The sequence below is a fragment of the Homo sapiens genome, chromosome 1 (genome assembly GCF_000001405.40).
Source record: "Homo sapiens chromosome 1, GRCh38.p14 Primary Assembly".
Lineage (NCBI taxonomy): Eukaryota > Metazoa > Chordata > Mammalia > Primates > Hominidae > Homo > Homo sapiens.
In genome coordinates, this window is record NC_000001.11 from 233,948,548 (window position 1) to 233,969,190 (window position 20,643).

The 20,643-nt window shown below is 43.5% G+C and overlaps 1 protein-coding gene and 1 long non-coding RNA gene across 2 annotated transcripts in view; both read left to right on the forward strand.

Moving 5' to 3' along the window:
- Positions 1–20,643, forward strand: part of SLC35F3 (solute carrier family 35 member F3) — a 419,836-nt gene that overhangs the window by 43,872 nt on the left and 355,321 nt on the right. The gene's annotated exons all lie outside the window — the stretch shown is intronic.
- LOC107985363 (uncharacterized) lies at positions 9,167–18,973 on the forward strand. The gene is made up of 2 exons (XR_001738530.2): positions 9,167–10,829; positions 15,862–18,973. It is a non-coding gene; the product is annotated as an uncharacterized LOC107985363 (long non-coding RNA).

The window sequence follows — 20,643 nt, forward strand, 5'->3', positions numbered from 1 at the left end:
TTTTTTTTTTTCTTTTTTTAATTTTTTATTATACTTTAAGTTTTAGGGTACATGTGCACATTGTGCAGGTTAGTTACATATGTATACATGAGCCATGCTGGTGTGCTGCACCCACTAACTCGTCATCTAGCATTAGGTATATCTCCCAATGCCATCCCTACCCCCTCCCCCGACCCCACAACAGTCCCCAGAGTGTGATATTCCCCTTCCTATGTCCATGTGATCTCATTGTTCAGTTCCCACCTATGAGTGAGAATATGCGGTGTTTGGTTTTTTGTTCTTGCGATAGTTTACTGAGAGGTAAGGCGTTTCTATGATAGACTTGCTTGCAACAATTCAAACAAGCCTGGCACAAGCATTTTCTAAGCTGGGAGGCTGTTTCTCCCTCACAGCCTTACAGGGGGCCAGGAAGAACTTGCTGAGCTGGCATGAGGACACACAGCTGGTGGTGGAACCAGCACTAGAGCCCCCAACCTCCCATTCCAGAGCTCCTTCCATCAGTAGTTCACACATAATCTCGTCTGAAAGTTCTGTCCATTCCATCATGTAGGATCATGCCCATGGGAGAACAAGCCCATGGATCACTGGGCTTGTTCTCCCGTAATCTCACATTCAGTCCTTGGAAGAGAGATGTCTGCCATTCTTCACACTCCTAACTTTTCCTCGAATGCCTCATTTTCTTTCCCTTTTCTCATGTCAGCCTCCACGTCACCTGAATTATATTAGTGGGGTCCTTGAGCACATGAAGCAAGTTAGCCAAGGCTCCTACATCCTTCCTGGTGTGCCAGGAGTGCTGGGCCTGATGATAGATAAGGCAAGTACTTTAAACATCGTGATGTTCACGGATAGTATTCCATGAGTGTAATGTCTAGAGGGAGAGGAAGACCAGTGAAAAACAGTATATTTGCTCAAGGAGCCAGGTGGGGCAATGTTATAGAAGAGGGAAAATGCAAAGATGGAGGGAATTAACCAAAAGTCAGTTCTGTTTCCAGCTGGGAGATCACCATGGCTGGTGGATGGATCAAGTGGCTAGTGAGAATTTCCCCAGGACCATGCTGTTTACAGAGCACTTGAGAAGCGTGCCGTCCAGAGAGACCTTAGCCCTTTTACAGCATTCACTGGGGCTTGTCATGTTAGGATCGCTGGGCAGGTTAATTAGTGTCGCTAGCAGCCCGAGTGAGGCTCTGACAGACTTGGATGTTTAGACCGTCTGCTGTACCGCTAAATTAAATGAGCACAGAGAACGTAAGACATCAGGGAACCCAAGCTAATGCTCTTGGTGGGGCAGCCCCAAAGCAGAATGTTAGCAAGAAGCCAAAGTGAGAGACCCAAAAGCCGTACTTCAGACCCTGGGCAGAGATGCCCTGGGCACAGCAAACAGCTAAGATGTTTGTTGCTGGTTAAGGCAGCCTCTAGTCAGGCCTGGTGGGGAACAGCCTATTTGTCCCCAGTTTTTTTCAGACACCTCTGCACACGAGGTGAGAAAACCTGTGGGCACCAGCACTTTTGGACACAAAGGACAGCCTTCTATTTCCATTGTATTGATTGGTTCTCAAAGAGAACACTCTCTGGAGGAAAAAGAGAAAATCAGGTATTTGGGAGGCTGAGGTGGGTGGATCACGAGGTCAGGAGATCGAAACCATCCTGGCTAACATGGTGAAACCCCGTCTCTACTAAAAATACAAAAAATTAGCCTGGCGTGGTGGCAGGTGCCTGTAGTCCCAGCTACTCGGGAGGCTGAGGCAGGAGAATGACATGGACCCATGAGGCGGAGCTTGCAGTGAGCCGAGATCACGCCACTGCACTCCAGCCTGGGTGACAGAGCAAGACTCTGTCTCAAAAAAAAAAAAAAAAAAAAAAAATGAAAATAAGGTAGAAAATGGTCAGCAAAGAAATGTTTCCTTCCTTCTTTCCTTCCTTCCTTCCTTCCTTCCTTCCTTTCTCCCTCCCCACTTCCTCCCTTCCTTCCTTCCTTTTTCCTTCCTTCCTTCCCTCCTTCACTCTTTCCTCCTTCTCCCCTGCTTCTTTCCTTCGTACCTCCTTCCTCTTTCCCTCCTCCCTCCATCCCTCCACCCTTTCTCCCTCCATATGTTGAGTGCCACCTCAAACCAAAAATGGCAGAGAAAAACAAATCAGAGAGACTAGGAAAAAAATCTAAAAGAACATCTCCTATCACACTTCATCCCTTTCCTTTGCTTTATTTTTTCTCATCAGAGTTTTAACTCCCTTGACATCTATATTTTTATTAATTTATCTGCTTGTTTTCTGTCTTCCCTCACTAACATGGAAACTTTTGTTGGTTTTTTTTCCCCCTGCAATATCCCTGCAATATCCCCAGTGTCTGACTTTAAGGTTTGACTGAACAAACCTTCTAGCTTTTAGAGTAACAAGCTCTGATGACAGTAACCAAAAGTAAAGAAATAGGAAAGATTTCTAATCAACACACTTCTCCCTGGACAGTTTGAGAAGGAAGGAGAAGTGGAGAGTGGGGTCCAATTTATTGGCCAGAAATGCTTTTCATGTCCAGCTTCATGCTCTATAATATATGATAACACGTCTCTTGGATCAAGTATGCCTGGACATGGTAAATCAGGGTTTTGAAAGAACATAGAGTCATGCACCATGTAACAATGTTTTGTTCCATGATGGACTGCATATGCAATGATGCTGCCATAAGATTATACTGAAGCTGAAACGTTTCTATCACCTAGTGACATCATAACTGTTGTAGCATGATTAGTTAGTGTAGCCTAAGTGTACAGTGTTTATAAAGTCTCCAGTAGTGTACAGTAATGTTCTAGGCCTTCACGTTCACCCACCACCCACTCACTGACTCACCCAGAGCAACTTCTAGTCCTGCAAGCTCCATTCATGGTAAGTGCCCTCTACAGGTGTACCTTTCTTTAAAAAAAAAATCCATTATACCATATTTTTTTCTGTACCTTTTCTTTGTTTAGATATGTTTAGATGCATAAATACTTTTGTGCTATAATTGCCTACAGCAGGGGTTCCCAACTCCTGGGCCATGGACCAGTTCATAGCCTGTTAGGAATGGGGGTGCACCAGCAGGAGCAGTATTTAACTAGGATGTCTCAGAGCTGACTCTTCTGTGTCAGTTTCTCCTGGGATATTTTGTAACCTTTCCACATGTAGATGATTCTTCTTCTTCTTTTTGTGTGTGTGTGTGTTTTGTTTTGTTTTTTTGTTTTGAGAGAGAGATGGGGTCTCACTATGTTGCCCAGGCTGATTCCTGGGCTCAAGTGATCCTCTCCCTTGGGCCTCCCAAAGTGCTGAGATTATAGGCATGAACCACCATGCCCAGCTATCAAGACTTCTTTTATGTCAAATATATTTTAAAATATTTACTTTGTTCATTATTTGAGTTTCTGTCCTCTGGGATTTCAATTATATATATGTTGGTTCTCCTTTGCCTGTCTTTCACATCTATCATTTTTTTCTCTAATCCCAATAACTTTTCCTATACTTTCTTTTCATTTTGCTTGATTTTTCATTTCTAACCTCTGTCATTTATGATGTCAGCAGTGGTTATTCTTCCTTCTGTTCTTACAATTTCGTTTTCTTTTTATGGTGCTTTTTTTTTCTTCTACTTCTTTCATGAACTTGAAGATATAGTTTCTTCAGAGATGTTCCTACTTCATTATGCTTTGTTAAATGCTTTGATCAATGGTCACAACTTTCATCTGCTCTGTGGGAACATTTTTTCTGTATTCTTTATCTGCCATTTGCTTTTACCATGACTTTCCTCCTTTTTTGACTACTTATCTTGGAAGCAGGTGACTTTCTCCTAGAACAATTATTTGTGGAAAGCTGGGGTTGAGGTGGGTGTGGGCTGTGCTCCAATATAGCTGGAAATTCCTTATAACCCAGGGATTTATGTTTAATTGTACCTAGATTTTATTTCTCCCCATCCATTGAAGATAAACTGTGGTTTTTCATAGGGCAAAGTCTCTTCCACACCATTGCTACAGAGATAGGCTTCTTCCTCCACACAGACTCCCACCTGTGTTTTGTCTGTGAGTCCTGTCTCTTTTTCTTCTTGCAACCAAATCACATCCAGTGTCTCCCACACACCACACCCCTGCTGTGGTGAACAAAACATTTAGGTTTTGCAGCTCAGGATATGCCTGTCAACTTTGAGAACCATGCTTTCTTCACTCTGTTTGTAACCCTTGGCATCTGGTTTCTCTCTCCTCTCCCTCACATGTGCACTGCTGTCCATTTACCATTGACACGGGTAGGCTTTCCACTCATTTTGGGAGTTGAGGATTTTAACTCTTAGTATCATCAAAAGATGGAATTCGCCCCCCTCCCCGCCCCACAATTCTCTTTGTTGCTTTGGGATGATTTCCAAAAAGATGAGGGAGAAAATATTGATTTTATTCCACCCTCTTTAAAATAGTAGTCTTCCCAAATGGAGGGCTCTGATCTTTAGCCTGTGAGAGATGGGTAGCCATTACAAACCTTTGAATAGTGAGACAATGTGAAAAAAGAGCTTGAGACTTAATATTGTGGTTGTATTGGGAAGAATGAGCTCGAAATAGGAAAAGACTAGAGCCTGGGAGATCAGCTGGAAACCTAAAATAACATTGAGTTGTGAGAATAATGGCCAATAATAGCCTCAAATAAGCTAATAATGATAGGACTGCAAAGAAAAGATACAAAAACATTAAGAATGAAAAAAATCAGTAATACTTGAAGGTATATTACATTTGATAGAGGAAAAAGAGTTAAGAGTGTTTTAAATTTTGAGCCTAAATGAGACATAATAAACGGGACTATGGAATTATAGCTGGGAATTCACTGAGGTTTGATATTTTTGATAAAATAAATGAGATTACCCTCTGAGAGTGAACTTAAAAGTCAACACATCAGTAATGATTGTGGGTCTGAACAGTTAGGTTAGAATGAGAGACCGGGAGACACTTTGTAAAGGTATTGCAAGTGCCCTTCAAATCACATCCCAGAGGACGGTGATCTTTGTCAACTCTCCGTCATAGCTCTGTTGGCACAGCCACCCTGTGGAGGAGATGGATGCACCACGCTGCCTTGGCTGATGGCATCTGTTTAGCAGGCAGCTGGCTCTTCAGGAAGAAGATTTAGGAGAGAAGTGGTCACCTGCACAGATACACGCACATCCATGAAGTGTCGCAGGGTAGAATGTACAGAGAGAAAATCAGTGACTAAGGCTGGATCCTTTAGGAACAATGACATAGAATGGGAGGGGAAAAAAGACCTGGGTAAGTCAAAGAGGCAGGAACAGTACTGGAAGGTGCAGCATCAAAAAGGAAAAGAAATGTGTAGACCATGGGAGCAACAGTAAGATGTGGCCCAGGCTGCATTTCTGAAAAGAGCACTTCCTGACAATCATGATAGGTAATAGGCCCATTTCACTTCTTCAGTGATGGGCCGCATCTGAACAGAGGTCCAAAACTAGAGCCTCTTTTTTTTTTTTTTTTGAGACGGAGTCTCGCTCTGTCATCCAGGCTGGAGTGCAGGGGCACAATCTCGGCTCACTGCAACCTCCACCTCCCGGGTTCAAGCTATTCTCCTGCCTCGGCCTCCCGAGTAGCTGGGACTACAGGCATGTGCCACCGCACCTGGGTAATTTTTTGTATTTTTAGTAGAGATGATATTTCGCCGTGTTAGCCAGGATGGTCTCCATCTCCTGACCTCGTGATCCGCCCACCTTGCCCTCCCAAAGTGCTGGGATTACAGGCGTGAGCCACTGCTCCCGGCCTAGAGCCTCTTTTAAAGAAAGACACTGAGCTTCTGACAAAATAAGGAATGCCAGAAAGGGGTGGGGGTGTGGTGGGAGGGGCCAAATGCCCTGCACCATGCAGGAGTTAGGCCAGGGAAAGAGAATACTAAGGAGGAGGTGTTACAAGGAGTCTCAGAAAACTAGAGTGCTTTTGTGGCTGGCTTCTCCTCCTTGTCACTCTAATGTGAAAGCTCTTCTGGCAAGCAACTCAATCCTAAGCATCCTTTGTAGCTAAGGGTGACCCATGCAGTGGTTTTGGACAATGAAATATATACAGAAGTACCTGGCATAGGAGTCGCTTTCTAAATAAAAGGGCAAAGCCTCCCAAAGATAAAGGGCTTTATCTTTTGCTCTTCCCTTTTCCCCCCTGCTGAGATTAGGACAGACATGGTACTGTAGCCTTCTTGCAGCCTTGAGGATGAAAGCTCCCTGATAAGCATAGCAAACCAGGAAGATAGAAGAAGGCTGGGTCTTTGCTGACATCCATACCATCCTGGGACAAGGAATCCCCAGTCTTCAATTTTTTTTCTTTTTTGAGATGGAGTCTCACTCTGTTGCCCAGCCTGGAGTGCAATGGTGCGATCTTGGCTCACTGCAACCTCTGCTTCCCGGGTTCCAGCGATTCTCGTGCCTTGGCTTCCTGAGTAGCTGGGATTACAGGCACACACCACCACGCCCGGCTAATTTTTGTATTTTTAGTGGAGATGGGGTTTCACCATGTTGCCCAGGCTACTCTTGAGCTCCTGAACTCAGGTGATCCACCTGCCTCAGCCTCCCTAAGTGCTGGGATTACAGGCACGAGCCACCGCACCAGGCCAGTCTTCTTATGTGAAAAAAATCAGCCTTACTGTTTCAGCCATTGTTGGCTGGCTTCCTGTTATTTGCAACAGAATTGATTCTCAACTGAGACAGCTATACACTTCTGAGTTGTAGGAAGAAAGATTTAAATTCCACCAAGAAGGTCTTTCTATTGATTAGAGTAGTTCAGCAATAAAATGGACTTCCTTTATCTTTTTCTCTGAAACTGCTCTTCCTCCCTGCAACCCCCAGCGTATGCCCCAATCTGGTGAATGTCCCCACCAGCTCTCTGCTCATCTTGGCCGGGGACTAGTAGTCAACCTTGATTCATCCTCCTACAACCTGCATATCTAATTGGTGGACACTTCGGTTGCTCCTATTTCTGTGACATTTGTGGGCTTGGGATCCAGAGGACACGTATGAGGATGATGTGTGTGAAGTGGGTGATATTATTTTCAGGTCACCCTTCTGCCCCCCTGTCTTGCTGCTTTTGTTCAGGTTTTAAAACATCTCTTACCTGCACTACCACAGGACACTTGCAACTGGTCTCCTAGCCTCTGATCGTTCACACTGATACTCAGTAATCCTTCCGAAATGCAATCTGTTCCTGTGACTTCTCTACTTGAAAATCTCACGAACTGTTTTTTTTTTTTTTTTTGAGACGGAGTTTTGGTCTTGTCTCCCAGGCTGGTCTTTGGTCAACTGTGTTTCCATTGTTGACCACAAGGGAGTCAGCAGAGGAGGTGTGGGTATCTTTTTTTTTTTTTTTTTTTTTTTTTTTGAGTTGGTGTCTCGCTCTCTTGCCCAGGCTGGAGTGCAGTGGCGTGATCTCGGCTCACTGCAACTTCCACCTCCTGGGTTCAGGCTATTCTTCTGCCTCAGTCTCTCGAGTAGCTGGCATTATAGGCATGCGCCACCACGCCTGGCTAATTTTTGTATGTTTAGTGAAGACAGGGTTTCACCATGTTGGCCAGGCTAGTCTCAAACTCCTGACCTCAGGTGATCCTCCCGTCTCACCCTCCCAAAGTGCTGGGATTACAGGCATGAGCCACAGTGCCCAGCCCTGCAAACTATTAAGTTAGTTTAGAAGTTAAAAGTTGAGTGTGACTTCTCCTATTGCTCTAGAATTGGTAGCAGAGTCCATATTCTAAAGAAAGTCAGCAAATATTAGGGCCAGATCTTCCTGCACCCTCTTCATACACACACACACACATGCAACTAACCAGGTATTTGTAGGAGGCAAAGGAGCTGGCCCCACTGCAGTCTCTCACCACTCTAGTTTATATAAGGTAAGGGCCAGGGTATGGCCATAAAACCATTTCTAGTTTCATTGCTATTGCTATGGTTGTGGGGGAAAGGCAATGTTTATGCTGAGACTTTTTCTCCCCTCTCCCTGGTTCTTTCTTCTTCCCCTATGGAAGAGTAGAGTGCACATCTGCATAGGTACTAGGCCTATCTGAGCAGGAAAAGTAATTGGAAAGAGAGGCAGAGCAGAGGGAAAGAGGGCAACAGGGGAGCAGCCTGCCAGCTGCCTTTTGAATGGCTGATGAAGTGTACCTTTTCCATGGAAGGCAACTGGGCGTGAGACATTTCCATTACCCCTCCAAGGGGGCTGCCTGCCAGCAAGGGTCCTGCAGCCTCAAGCAGCTGTGGATGAAACCTGGTGGGAGGTGAGAATGGCGGAGGCGGGTAAAGAACTGAAGCTGAACCCTAAACTCCTTTCCCATTCATGGGGAAGCTTGCAAGGCCCCCTAGGAATCCACACAGGTGCCCCCGCCTAGTGGTGGAATGCCAGAAAAAGGATAGGGGTAGAGGCCAAATGGCAAGCCGTGACCATGCATCATGCAGGAGTTAGCACATGGAGGGCATCGACCTCTTCTGCTAGCCACAGGAGCTAACCAGGACTGGATCACAACTGCTCCCAGGTAAGTGAAGAAGCCTTTGCCGGTTTTATTTTTCCTGGTATCCTCTCTCTTACCCCGAAGGTCCAGGACCCTAAGAAACATGGGTAGGAGAAGAATAAAAGCTCTCACCCCTATTCCAAGACCTGGATCACAGTCTAGTTTCCAGAGTGGGAGGAGATTGTTTTATGTCAGATATGAAATTGGATTTTTGAACTGGACTGAAATGTACTACTTAAGGAGGCTGAATATAAAGGAATCTGAACCATAACAAAGGTAGGAGGAATGGCTGGAGGAAGCGATGCCACTCCATCTTCATTCTACTAACTGATGCGCTACTCAGTTCATCAGGGTGTGGGCTCTGTCACCTTTGTAGCCTCATTTATTCCACTCCTTTCAGGATTCCCTGTATTCTAGCCTTACTAAATTCTGTGATGTTTTCTGAATGTTTCAGTTGGCTCTAGCTCCATAATTACATCAAAATTTAGTGGCATAAATACAATAACTGGCTGTGTGTGGTGGCTCGTGCCTGTAATCCCAGCACTTTGGGAGGCCGAGGCAGGTGGATCACCTGAAGTCAGGAGTTCGAGACCAGCCTGGCCAACACGGTGAAAGCTCGTCTCTAATTAAAGTACAAAAATTAGTTAGGCATGGTGGTGGGTGCCTGTACTCCCAGCTACTTGGGAGGCTGAGGCAGGAGAATCACTTGAACCCAAGAGGATGAGGTTGCATTGAGCCGAGACTGCATGATTGCACTCCACCTAGGGCGACAAAAGCGAAACTCCATCTCAAAAAAAAAATACAATAATCATTTTATTATTGCTTGTGGTTTTATGAGATGGCTGGGCTCAGCTGGGCAGCTCTTCTGCTGGTAGTTCTTGAGGCCTTTTATATGTTTGTGGTCAAGTGGGTCTAGGGTTCAACTTTGCTGAGGCTTAACTAGGACTTGATGACTAGACCGCTTTTCCAAATGTTAGGACTTTTCACTCCTTGTGGCCCTTTGTGTAGCTTCTCCATGTGCTTTCTTCACCATTCCAAAGGAAGGACAGAGAACTGCCAGTCCTCTTAGAGACGAGGCAGGACATGGACATAATGTCACCACTGCTGCCTTCACCACACTGAGGACTCTCTTCTATTTTATGTTTCTAATTTTTTGATTATGATGACTCTTTTGATGATATGAACTACCTGCCCCTTAAGCCTTCTCTGAATAGCACTTATCAACTCAAGCTAGGTCTGATCACTGTCTTCTGTGTGCCCTGAACATAGGTTTTGGTTTAGTTGCCACTTTTTCCCCAGCTAGACTAGAAGCTAACAAATGGTCATGCCTTTCTCACTCTTTTTCCTTAGGGCTAGCAAGAGGTGTTGCTGGACACATAGTAGGCAAGTAGTAAGCATTTATTGAATCAATGAATGAATGAATGAGCTTATTTATACCTATGAGGTCTATTCCAGCTGAGGTGATCACCATAAGGATTTTTGTGGAACACACTCCAGCAAGTTCAACCAAGTGACATCTGATATCTTTTCCAACTAAGAAATTTTATGAATCTTGATCAAGAGAGGGGACAGCTTTGGGGCAAGAGTGGGAGGATGTGTTGTGAGAGATAATGCATGAGGAAGTATTTTTAAAATTACAAAATGTAAGAGCAAGTATTATTAGTCTCTCAATTTCAAGATCCCAGTGGATAGCTATACCACAGGACTTAAATCCAAGATTACCTTGTGATGTTTGGAGAGGAGAGAGTTAAAGATTAGTTCCAAGTTACATAATATGAAATAAGAAAAAGACAAACAAGTTCTTTTGACCTCACTTAAGTTTTACTTGACCTTTGAATACAAAATAACGCATGAGCAGCTGCCCCAAATGTTACCCTTTTTTCCATGATAGAAAATAGAAAAACATTTCCAACAATTGTTTATATCATGTTTTTCTTTTGGAACTGTGTGTATGATCAGATGCCTCAGAAAACACCAAAGATAATGAAAAAGCCCTTGGTTCCTGAAGAAGAAAGGTTAAGGGTCCATTTCCCTTTCATCGCTAGAGGCCATTGTAAAGTAATACATATTTTAATCGCTTATGGAATAATTTCTATTGACCTTTGTGTGTTTGAGTAACTCTAAAGCTTAGTCTCTTTTTCCTAATCACCTAATTTATTCTCACGTATAAAGTAGCGTACAGTAGTCATGCATTAAAGTTACTTATCACTGATTTAGGTGTTTTTTTTTTTAAAGGAGGCAGCTTAGTCTTATCTGCAGTTCCAGCAATGAATAATCTGACAGTCAGATATTTCAAAATACTTAACGACTTTTTGCCCTTAACTGCAGCTGCTACAGAAAAGAAAAAAGCAGTAAGTACACATAATGGAAATCTCTCCCCAATGGCCTTTTCATTTCCTCCAAGCCCAGGGGAAAAGCATTTCATGGGGTAGCAGGCATAGGGAGGGTTAGCAGCAAACAATATTAAAAGAGGTATGAAAGATATAATTTTTTTTCAGTAACAGTAGGTCACACCAGGAAACTAATGGAATTCTGTGGTTTGATCCTTGTGAGTACCATGAATGTCAGTCAGGTTTTAAGACTAAATGGGTAGAAATAACTAGAAGCTTTAAAAGTTTCATGGAACAATAGGACATGTATTGCTGAAGAAGACCTCAGCCATGGATCTTTCTTATCTTCTAAGTTTCAGCTGGACCCAAGAAGGTTAAGTGCCTTGGCCAGGATTTCTTTGTTGGTGGCAGAGTGGGGATTAGATCCACGCTTCTCAACCTGGGACTGTACCTTGAAACCACTTTGGAGTCTCAAAAATCTCAATGTCTGGATCCACCCCCAGATATCCTGACTGTGATCAGTCAGGTGTGACCTGGACATTGAGACCTGGAGTGCCCAACTTCTCTTTCAGGATGCTTTCCACATCCTCACCCACCTTGTGCAGTGTTTTGTTGGGGACAGGACCTAGACATACTTGCCACAGTGTGTTTCCTCTTCAGCACATGTGCCTTTCTATCTTCCTGCCTCCTGCAGACTCATCTCTGAAGCTAGGAACTGAGCAAGATTGTTGCAATCTAGATCCCGACCTGTCTGTCTAGGTGTGGGTTCCATTCTCATATAAACTGCATGTTTTTGTCTTTGCGCAATATGCCAATTGGTGTGCAGAGCTCTGCTGTTAACATGCCATCCGTTCTCCTTCCTTCACCTAAATGAGCAGCTGTACCCTCATTTCTGCCTTCCTGGGGAAGCAAGTCCCTCGTTTCCCCTCACCTGTCACTTTGCCAGGAGAAGACACAGTGAGGAAGCTCCTCACTCGCCTTTAGGTGAGGACATTAAACATGTCTTTTTCTCCGTTATCCTCCAATACAAGCGGCCACTTTTCCCACCAAGCAGGTAACCCCGTGTCAGTTTAAAACACAGAATTTAGAGTTGGAAAGGACCTTCAAGATCATCTGGCTCTGTGTCTCACTGGGCAGAAATCCTTTCTCTGTTCGCCTGGCAGATGGCTCTCTGGCTTTGACTTGGATGCCCACTGTGAAAGGAGCTCATTTTGTCCCATCCCAGCCCATGCAGCTGTTGAGTAATGCTAGTTATTAGCATAACTTTTTAAGTTAGATCATTTCTCATATTCCCCTGGCAGATTTCCCAATTATAAATGCCACCACTGGGTCCTAGTCAACTCTGTTTCATCACAGAAGATGGGTTTAGGAGAATGGCCAGAATGGAACCCCACTGCCAGCATTCCCCCTTGGAAGGACCAGTGAATGAGGCATGTCTGAAATGGGGTACCTAACAAGCTGTAAGTTCTTTCGACCTTGACCTTGCATAACTCATTTTCTCCATTAGCTGAGAGCATCAGCTGCATTCTGTGCAAAGGCAGGTTATTAGAGTGAGCCTGTGTCTCTCGGTGGCTCCACACACCTGCACCACCATGCCAAGAGCCCAGATCAAAACAACCTCATGGAGATGAGTGCATGCTTCCCCAGGAGGGTGCTATGTCTTGCTAGTGGTGCAGTTCCTCACACTGCCTATAAATCCCTGAGCTCCCCAGAAGGTTGTTTATGAGAGAAGGATGTTGGATCACATACTTCTTCAAAAAGCAACAAAATATTTGCAGTGGTGCCTGATTTTGCCTTAGCGATGGATGAAACTCCAGAAAGAATATAGATATAACCTACGAGTATCCGCTGAATGCTCGAACAGGTGGGGATTTTGAAAAAACCTGTGAAGGCACTCTCTGTGCCTTGCTACCCAGTGTGCGGTGGGCAGACTGGCAGCTTATTAATCACCTGGGGGCTTGTTAGAAAGGCAAGATCTTGGGCCCCACCCAGAACTACTGAGAAGAGCTGCTTGAGAGATCTTTCAGAACACTTGCGTTTCCACCTCCCAAATCCCGACTGACGTGTCCTCATTTCAGCTTTCTTTTTTTTTTTCCTCTCTTTTTTTTTTTTTTTTCTTGAGACAAAGTCTCGCTTTGTCCTCCAGGCTGGAGGGCTATGGCGTGATCTCGGCTCACTGCAGCCTCTGCCTCCTGGGTTCCAGCGATTTTCCCACCTCAGCCACCCAGGTAGCTGGGATAACAGGCGCACACCACCACACCTGGCTAATTTTGTGTTTTTGGTAGAGATGGGGTTTCACCATGTTGGCCAGGCTAGTCTTGAACTCCTGGCCTCAGATGATCCACTTGCTTTGGCCTCCCAAAGTGCTAGGATTATAGGCGTGAGCCACAGCGCCTGGCCTCTCATTTCAGCTTTTTTAGAGATCTGCTGTCTGTCAGGTCGTAGCTCTCTAGCTCATTATAATAATGGAAAATAGGTGCATTTCATGAAAATAAGGTGCATTTTAACTGGATGGAGACAGCATCTTAACCCAGAACAGTGGGCAACGTGGCAATGAAGTGAGTGGTTACTGGGACAGAAGAACTTCTGGCGTGTTTTAATCCAAAGGCATAGGGATGAGGCTGCAAGATCATGGGGCGATCATTCTTGAATTATCATGGGGTCATTCATTTGTTCATTCATTCATTCATTCTAAGAGTAGATATGATCATTGTAGCAACTTGATTAAATACAGAAGTGTATAGATCAAAAATTAAAACCATACATATTTCCACCACACCAAAAACTATTGGTAACATTTTATTGTGGTGCATGTGCTTACAGATATTTTTCTATTAAAGACCTACCATTTATATAATATGCATTTGTATGTTTGCTTAACTTTGACATAATATTATGAGCAGTTTCTATTTATCTGTATTCTTCAAGAATGTGATCTGATTTTAAATAGTTGCAATGTATATACTTATCAAACTATGCTTGTCCAAGTTCTTATTGCTGGAAATTTAGTGTGTTTTATTTACAGTTCATCTTCATTATAAGTAGCATTGGGATAAGCATCAGTGTGCATGAATCTCCGTGCACACATTTAACATTTATTGAATTCCAATGTGCCTTACACTAATTGCCAGGCATGCAAAATTAAGTCCAATGGAATCTTGCTCTTTGTGAGGGGCTTATATGCAGAGTTCATAATAAAATGAATCAAGGTCTTTGGTAATGTCTACAGAAAGTTAAAGTCAGTGTGTTCGTATTTTTATCCTGTGCATTTTTCTCCTTTGTTTTGTACCTTGAGGAGTTGCTTCATTCAACGTTTCACAGGTGACACACTTCTTAATTACTAAAGGAGACGGTACTGATAATAATTCCTAATTGAGCATATAGTGTTTAACATCTCAGGCAGAATCTAAACATGACATTTTCAAGATATTCTCAAAACCTCTACAGTGCATTCCTTTTCATAGTTGAGCCTTGTGACTAGGATGGGACTGTAATGGGAATATTGCATTTTTTGGCATGGCAGTGATGAATTAATCCTCACTCTTTGCACGGACCTTGTAATGAAGAAAGCCATGACTTGCATAGCAAAATGGCTTAGCATTTTGGAGGAGCAACAGTGAATTTTGTGCATAGCTGCAATCTCTTTCAACCATGATGGGGATGTGTCCCAGACCCTCAGCTGCAGAGCCCTGCTGGAGTACAGAGACAAGCATTAGCCCTGTGACTCATTCCAGCCCTCGGTAGCTATCTTTTCTTTTGCTCTTGCAGCCTTTCACTGGTAGCATTGAGGCTTCGTTTTGTACATTTTAAGTGATAGGTCACTGTCAATGTTGGGGGTGGGTACTTCTGCCTTTCACATATCTGAATCCCATTTCTCCAGTCTATTTCTCCCCATTGTGGAGAGGCTTTGGGGCAGGTCATAGCTTTCTTTTTTCTTTCTTTCTTTTTTTTTTTTCTTTTTTTGAGATGGAGTCTCGCTCTGTCGCCCAGACTGGAGTGCAGTGGTGCAATCTCGGCTCACTGCAAGCTCCGCCTCCCAGGTTCACGCCATTCTTCTGCCTCAGCCTCCCAAGTAGCTGGTACTACAGGAACCCGCCACCACGCCCAGCTAATTTTTTTGTATTTTTAGTAGAGATGGGGTTTCACCATGTTAGCCAGGATGGTCTCGATCTCCTGATCTCGTGATCTGCCCACCTCGGCCTCCCAAAGTGCTGGGATTACAGGCATGAGCCACCGTGCCCGGCCAGGGCAGGTCATAGCTTTCTTTAGTGTTTGGCGCAGGTCAGTTCCGTAAGAGGCAGGTGCCAGGGGTGAGGGCAGAGTTCCACAGGCAAACACAGAAGCCTGCATGCTCTTCAGCCTCTCAGATGTGGGGGAGGTGAAGGTCATGTTTCATCTTACACTGCTGACTAATCTAGAGCAGTGTCAGAGCATCTCATTGCACAGCCATAAGGAGGTCATTCACTATCACACAATTATTGCCCCACATTTGCACTTATAGTTGGCTCTTCTCAGCTGGAGTCACTCTGGGTTCTGGAGCCTAGTTTTTTTCTGGGATCAGGTTGGCTGATGCACCTGGGGGGCCCATACCCCAGATCTCAGCTTCTCCATAGCAGGTTGAAAGACTTATCATCATTTCTAAAGAGTTTAGCAGAAACTCAAGTTACTCTCTATATAAACCTGGCAGTTCAAACTTTTCAAAGTGCCTCTGGAAGGTCCTTGTCATTGGGACCTCCTAATACTCTGAGGAGTTGCCTCACTTTACGTCTGGCAGGCCAGGGCTCCAGCCTGTGAGCTCAGTGACTTGCTTTGGGTCCACACTTGCACCACTCTGAATTCTTCCCAGGTGTGGAAGAGTGAAAATCCTGATTCTGAGCTCACAAAGGAGTAGACGGCTAGTTAGTGCCAAGAGGGGTAGATGTGAGGCGTGCTCAAAATGCACACAGCCATACGTAGAACCTGCCACCCACAGTCTCTTCTGAAGTGGCCTGGGGCTGGATGAAGGTTTCAGAGTGCACCCTCAGCTCCACTCTGCTTATTCCTTCACCTACAGATACTCAACTGGAGCTTTCCCAATGCCAGGCACCTTCACAGCATGGAGGACCTCACCATGAGGGAGGCAGATGTGGTGTTTATAGAAGAATGAGATCAACAAACAAGAAGTTAAATATGGAGCAAGATGGCTTCAAGAATCCAGTACATGCTGTAAAGGAGGCGAATCAGGGTGTTAAGACTGTTCATGTGTCGCGAAGGCATGCGAGGAGCCAACATTCAAGCTAAGAGCTAAACAATGGGAGAAGTCAGTTGTTAGTGGATGAGCTACAGACAGAGGGACAAAGGAGTGACAGCAGAGAGATGTGCAACAGAGAGAAATGCAATGCAATATGAGTTCTGATGGTAGCACCTATGCCATGCTGATGAGTTCCTTTGAGGGCTGTGCCATCCTGGGTGTTATCATTGTCTGCCTGGCCATTTCCCCTCTTGAGGACATGTTACCAACTGCTGTGATTGAGAATTCAGGGGACCACACTAACATCAGAGGAAACTAGTGCACACTAACCTCTTGCATAAAGTGAAAGGAAATTGATCTACCACCAAGATTCTTATAAGTGATGTTTTTCCCAATCCCTGACCATGGCCAGTGTCATGAAGTTGTCATTGCAATTGGACTCAGAACATTAGGGGCCTGGAGAAAGAAATACAGGATTAGGTCTTCTAAGCCTTTGTTTATACCCTGGGTCCTTTTAAAATTCCTATTTCAGACTCTGGGCCTGTGGTCCTTCCTAAAATGTACAACTAAAGCAATTCTCTAAGGGTTGAAGTTTTTTTAGAGGGACATTAAATGGTTTTTCTTCAAAAATTTGACTCAAAGAAGGAAGGGACCAAAGATATACACATATTCTTTGGTACCGTTACTTGCACTTAGAATCTGCATGAAAATGTTTAAATAGCTACCCCAGGCTTACAGCTTGTGGGCTGAGCTTTTTATCCCTATCTCCTGGTGCTCACCTCTTTGTCTAATTCCTTCCCCTTGAGTATGGGCAGGACCTGTGATTGCTTTTAACCAATAGAATACAGCAAAAAGAGTGGGCCATTGTTCCCATGGTTCTATTATGTAAGGTTTTGTTTTGGTTGCCAACATGAGAGACTCTCCTTGCTGGCTGGATGAAGTAAGCAGGCATTTTGAGGAAGCTATGTGGCATGGGTTAACAGGCAGCCTCTAGGAGCTAAGGACAGCCTCCCAACATCAGAAAGAAGCCAAGGGCCTCATTCTCACAACCTCAAAGAAATAAATGCTGCCAATAACTGGAGTGAGCTTGGAAGTGGATTCTTCCCCACTCCAGCCTCCAGATGAGAACACAGCCTGGTCAATACCTTGATTATAGCTCTGTAAGACCCTGAGCAGAAGACCCAGTAAAGTTGTGTCCAGATTCCTAATACCTCAAAACTGTGAAATAATTAATGCGTGCTGTCATAAACCTCTATGTAGGGGTAATTTGTTATGTGGCATAGCAAACTAATACATTTATGAATCTATTTAACCTGGGATTGATAAAAGCAGTGGCTTTGGCTAGGTTGGATATTTTCATGGGCAGCAGTTCTCTAAGTGACTTATGGGTCTGTGAGGTGAAATCTCCATGGTCTGGGGCTTGGCTGTGGGCAGGAGAGATGACCCAGAGTCAAGATAGAGAGTGGCCAAGACCAGCCCTTAGGCCAAACCCCAGCCTGCCTCCACCCACAAGAGGGAAATGGTCTTCCAGTAAGTTATTTATAGGCAACAGAGGTTGTTAGCAGCCAGCAGAAAAAGCTTACATTTGGGAAGAAAAAGTACCAAGATAGCAAAAGTGAAGAAAAGACTAGTGGTAAAGAAAAAAGAGATAAGAAATGGTAGGAAAGATTTTCAATAAGAGGTGACGGGTCTGGGCTAATATGAATGGGGTTACCCTAATCAGACCTAATCAGGACAGGGATACCCTAATCAGACTTAATCTCAATGGGAATACTTAAATCAGACCTAATCTGGATGGAGACACCCCCAGTGAGGCCCCATCTGGATGAGTACACCCCAATCAGACCCAATCTGGACAGGAACACCCCAGTCAGACCCAACCTGGATGCAAATGGCCAATCAGATTTCATCTGGATGGGGACACCCTAATCAGACCTAATCTGGATGGGGAAAGCCCAATCAGAACTAATCTGGATGGGAGATACCCACCAACTCTTGCTCCCTAGCCAGCTAAATTGCCAACTCCAAGAATTTATAAAGATCCTATTAAAAAAATAATAACATTAGGAAAGCAACCTCTGGCACTTACAGCAGAAAACTAGAACTCATTCATTTAAAGAACAGCTTTAGAATTTTCTAAATCATAGAAAGCCTTCCTTCTCTCACAAGCTAATTCTGCAAAGGATCAAATACAGATTTATGGGGGTGGTTCTAGGAGTCTAATTGAAAAGTAAAGGAAATTCATGACTGTGCTTCAGTTCCTTTATTTTCTTTGGAGGCAAAGCATCAGTGCTGGCCCTGAACGAACAAGTATAACCAACTTCCAGCCCTGTGTGAGATATTACTGGTATTGTCTTTTTCTGCATCAAAAAGGTCCTTTGCATCTGTGGAACTTCTACAGGGTCATGAGTCAACTTTCTACCTATACTTTTTGAGTAGGGTTGCCAGACTGAGCAAATAGAAATACAGGGCACTAAATTATATTTTAATTTCAGATCAACAAAAAATAATTTCTCAGTATAATTCTATGTCAAATATTGCTTGGGACATACTTATCCTAAAACCAAAATTCATTGTTAATCTGAAATTCACATTTTATTGGGCATGCTGTATTTTTATCTGCAGTCCTATCATAGACGCATTTCAATGAAAAATGCAAGCCCCCCCCACCCCAAACATGTGTTTGAAGTTTTCTTTTAGGAACATCATTCCACTGTAAGAGCTTTAAAAAAGAAAAGCCAAGATTATTAGTAAGGATTCTAGGCATCTATATGTAGTTTTAACTTTACCTTATTAGATAAGAATTAATTTTTAGCTAGATTATCTGGCCGATGAACTATGATGAATATAAACAATTGAGGATCTCATAGTACCTGTTCTTCAGTATTTTATATAAGAAGGAAATGTAAAATAAATTTGACTTTGAATGTCAGTATCTGCATTGCCACCTTCTATTTAACATGGTAACCATGTTTTACTGATCATGTTTATGATAAACAGTCCATTATCATTTTATGAGTTGAGACCAATGTGGAACCCAGTAAGAAGAAATATTCCTCTAGAAACTACATGCAGGATGACTTCACATTTAAATAATCTTTTAAAAGTAGATTTAATTTAGTCTGAGAAACAACAGCCCCATGTCTAAACAAATTTTTCCACTCCGGAGTATAGAAAGGCAAGTATTTATTCTGAGGCCTAAGACAGGTTTAATTGCTATTGAAAACAAAAACGAAGTTATTTAGTGTTTTCATTATAAATCTTGGTTTTTGACTTAAAAAGGAGAAACAGAAAAAACAACCCATGGCTCCAAACTGAAACTGCAATTTTACCACTGAATGGAAAGTTTTAGGAACATGCGGTGAATTGTTTCCCCAGGACTGCCATAAACCAAGTACCACAAACTGGATGGCTGAAAATAATAAACCGTGTTGTCTCATGTATTTGGAGGCTAGAAGTCCCAGATGGAGGGATCTGCACAGTGGGTTCCTTCTAAGAGCTGTGAGGGAGAATCTGTCGCATGCCTCTCTCCCTCTCTCCTAGTTTCTGGGGGTTGCCAGCAGTCAATGGCATTTCTTAGCTTGTGGATCCATCACTCCAATCTCTGCCTCCATCTTCATATCTCCCTGAGTGCATTCTGCCTGAGTGTCTGAGTCTTCACATGGCTGACTTCTTATAAGGACACAAATCATTTTGGATTAGGGGTCCTTTTGACTCCGGTATGACCTTATCTTAACTAATGACATCTGAAATGACCCTATTTCTTTTTTTTTCCAACTTTTATTTTAGATTCAGAAAGCATATGTGCAAGTTTGTTACATGGGTAAATTGTGTGTCACTGAAGTTTGGTATACAAATGTGAGCATAGTACTAAATAGGTAGTTTTTCTTTTTCTTTTTCTTTTTCTTTTTCTTTTGTTTTTGAGACAGTTTCACTCTGTCACCCATGCTGGAGTGTGGTGGCATAATCTTGGCTCACTGCAACCTCTGTCTCCTGGGTTCAAGTGATTCTGCCTCGGCCTCCCAAGTAGCTAGGATTACAGGTGCACACCACCACACCCTGCTAACTTTTGTATTTTTAGTAAACACGGGGTTTCACCATCTTGGCCAGGCTGGTCTTGAACTCCTTACCTCAAGTGATCCACCCATCTCGTCCTCCCAAAGTGCTGGTATTATAGGCATGAGCCACTGCACCCAGCCAATAGGTAGTTTTTCAACCCTCATCCCCCTCCCACTCTCCCTCTTCTAGTAATCCCTAATTTCTATTATTCCTGTCTTTATGATCATGTATACTTAATGTTTACCTCCCACTTATAAGTGAGAACATGCAGTATTTGGTTTTCTGTTCCTGCATTAATTTGCATTAATTGGCCTCTAGCTGCATCTGTGTTGTTGCAAAGGACACGATTTCAAAGACCCCATTTCTAAAGAAGATCCCATTATGAGGTACTAGGAGTTAGAATTTTGACATATTTTGGGGGGGGGGACACAATTCAACCCATAACATAGAGTATACACATTTCAGCCAAGCAAAGTTTACAAAATGTTGCCTAATTTTTCCTCCTTTTTTGCAATTCTCATCTTCAGTTTTCAGACGTCTGAAGTC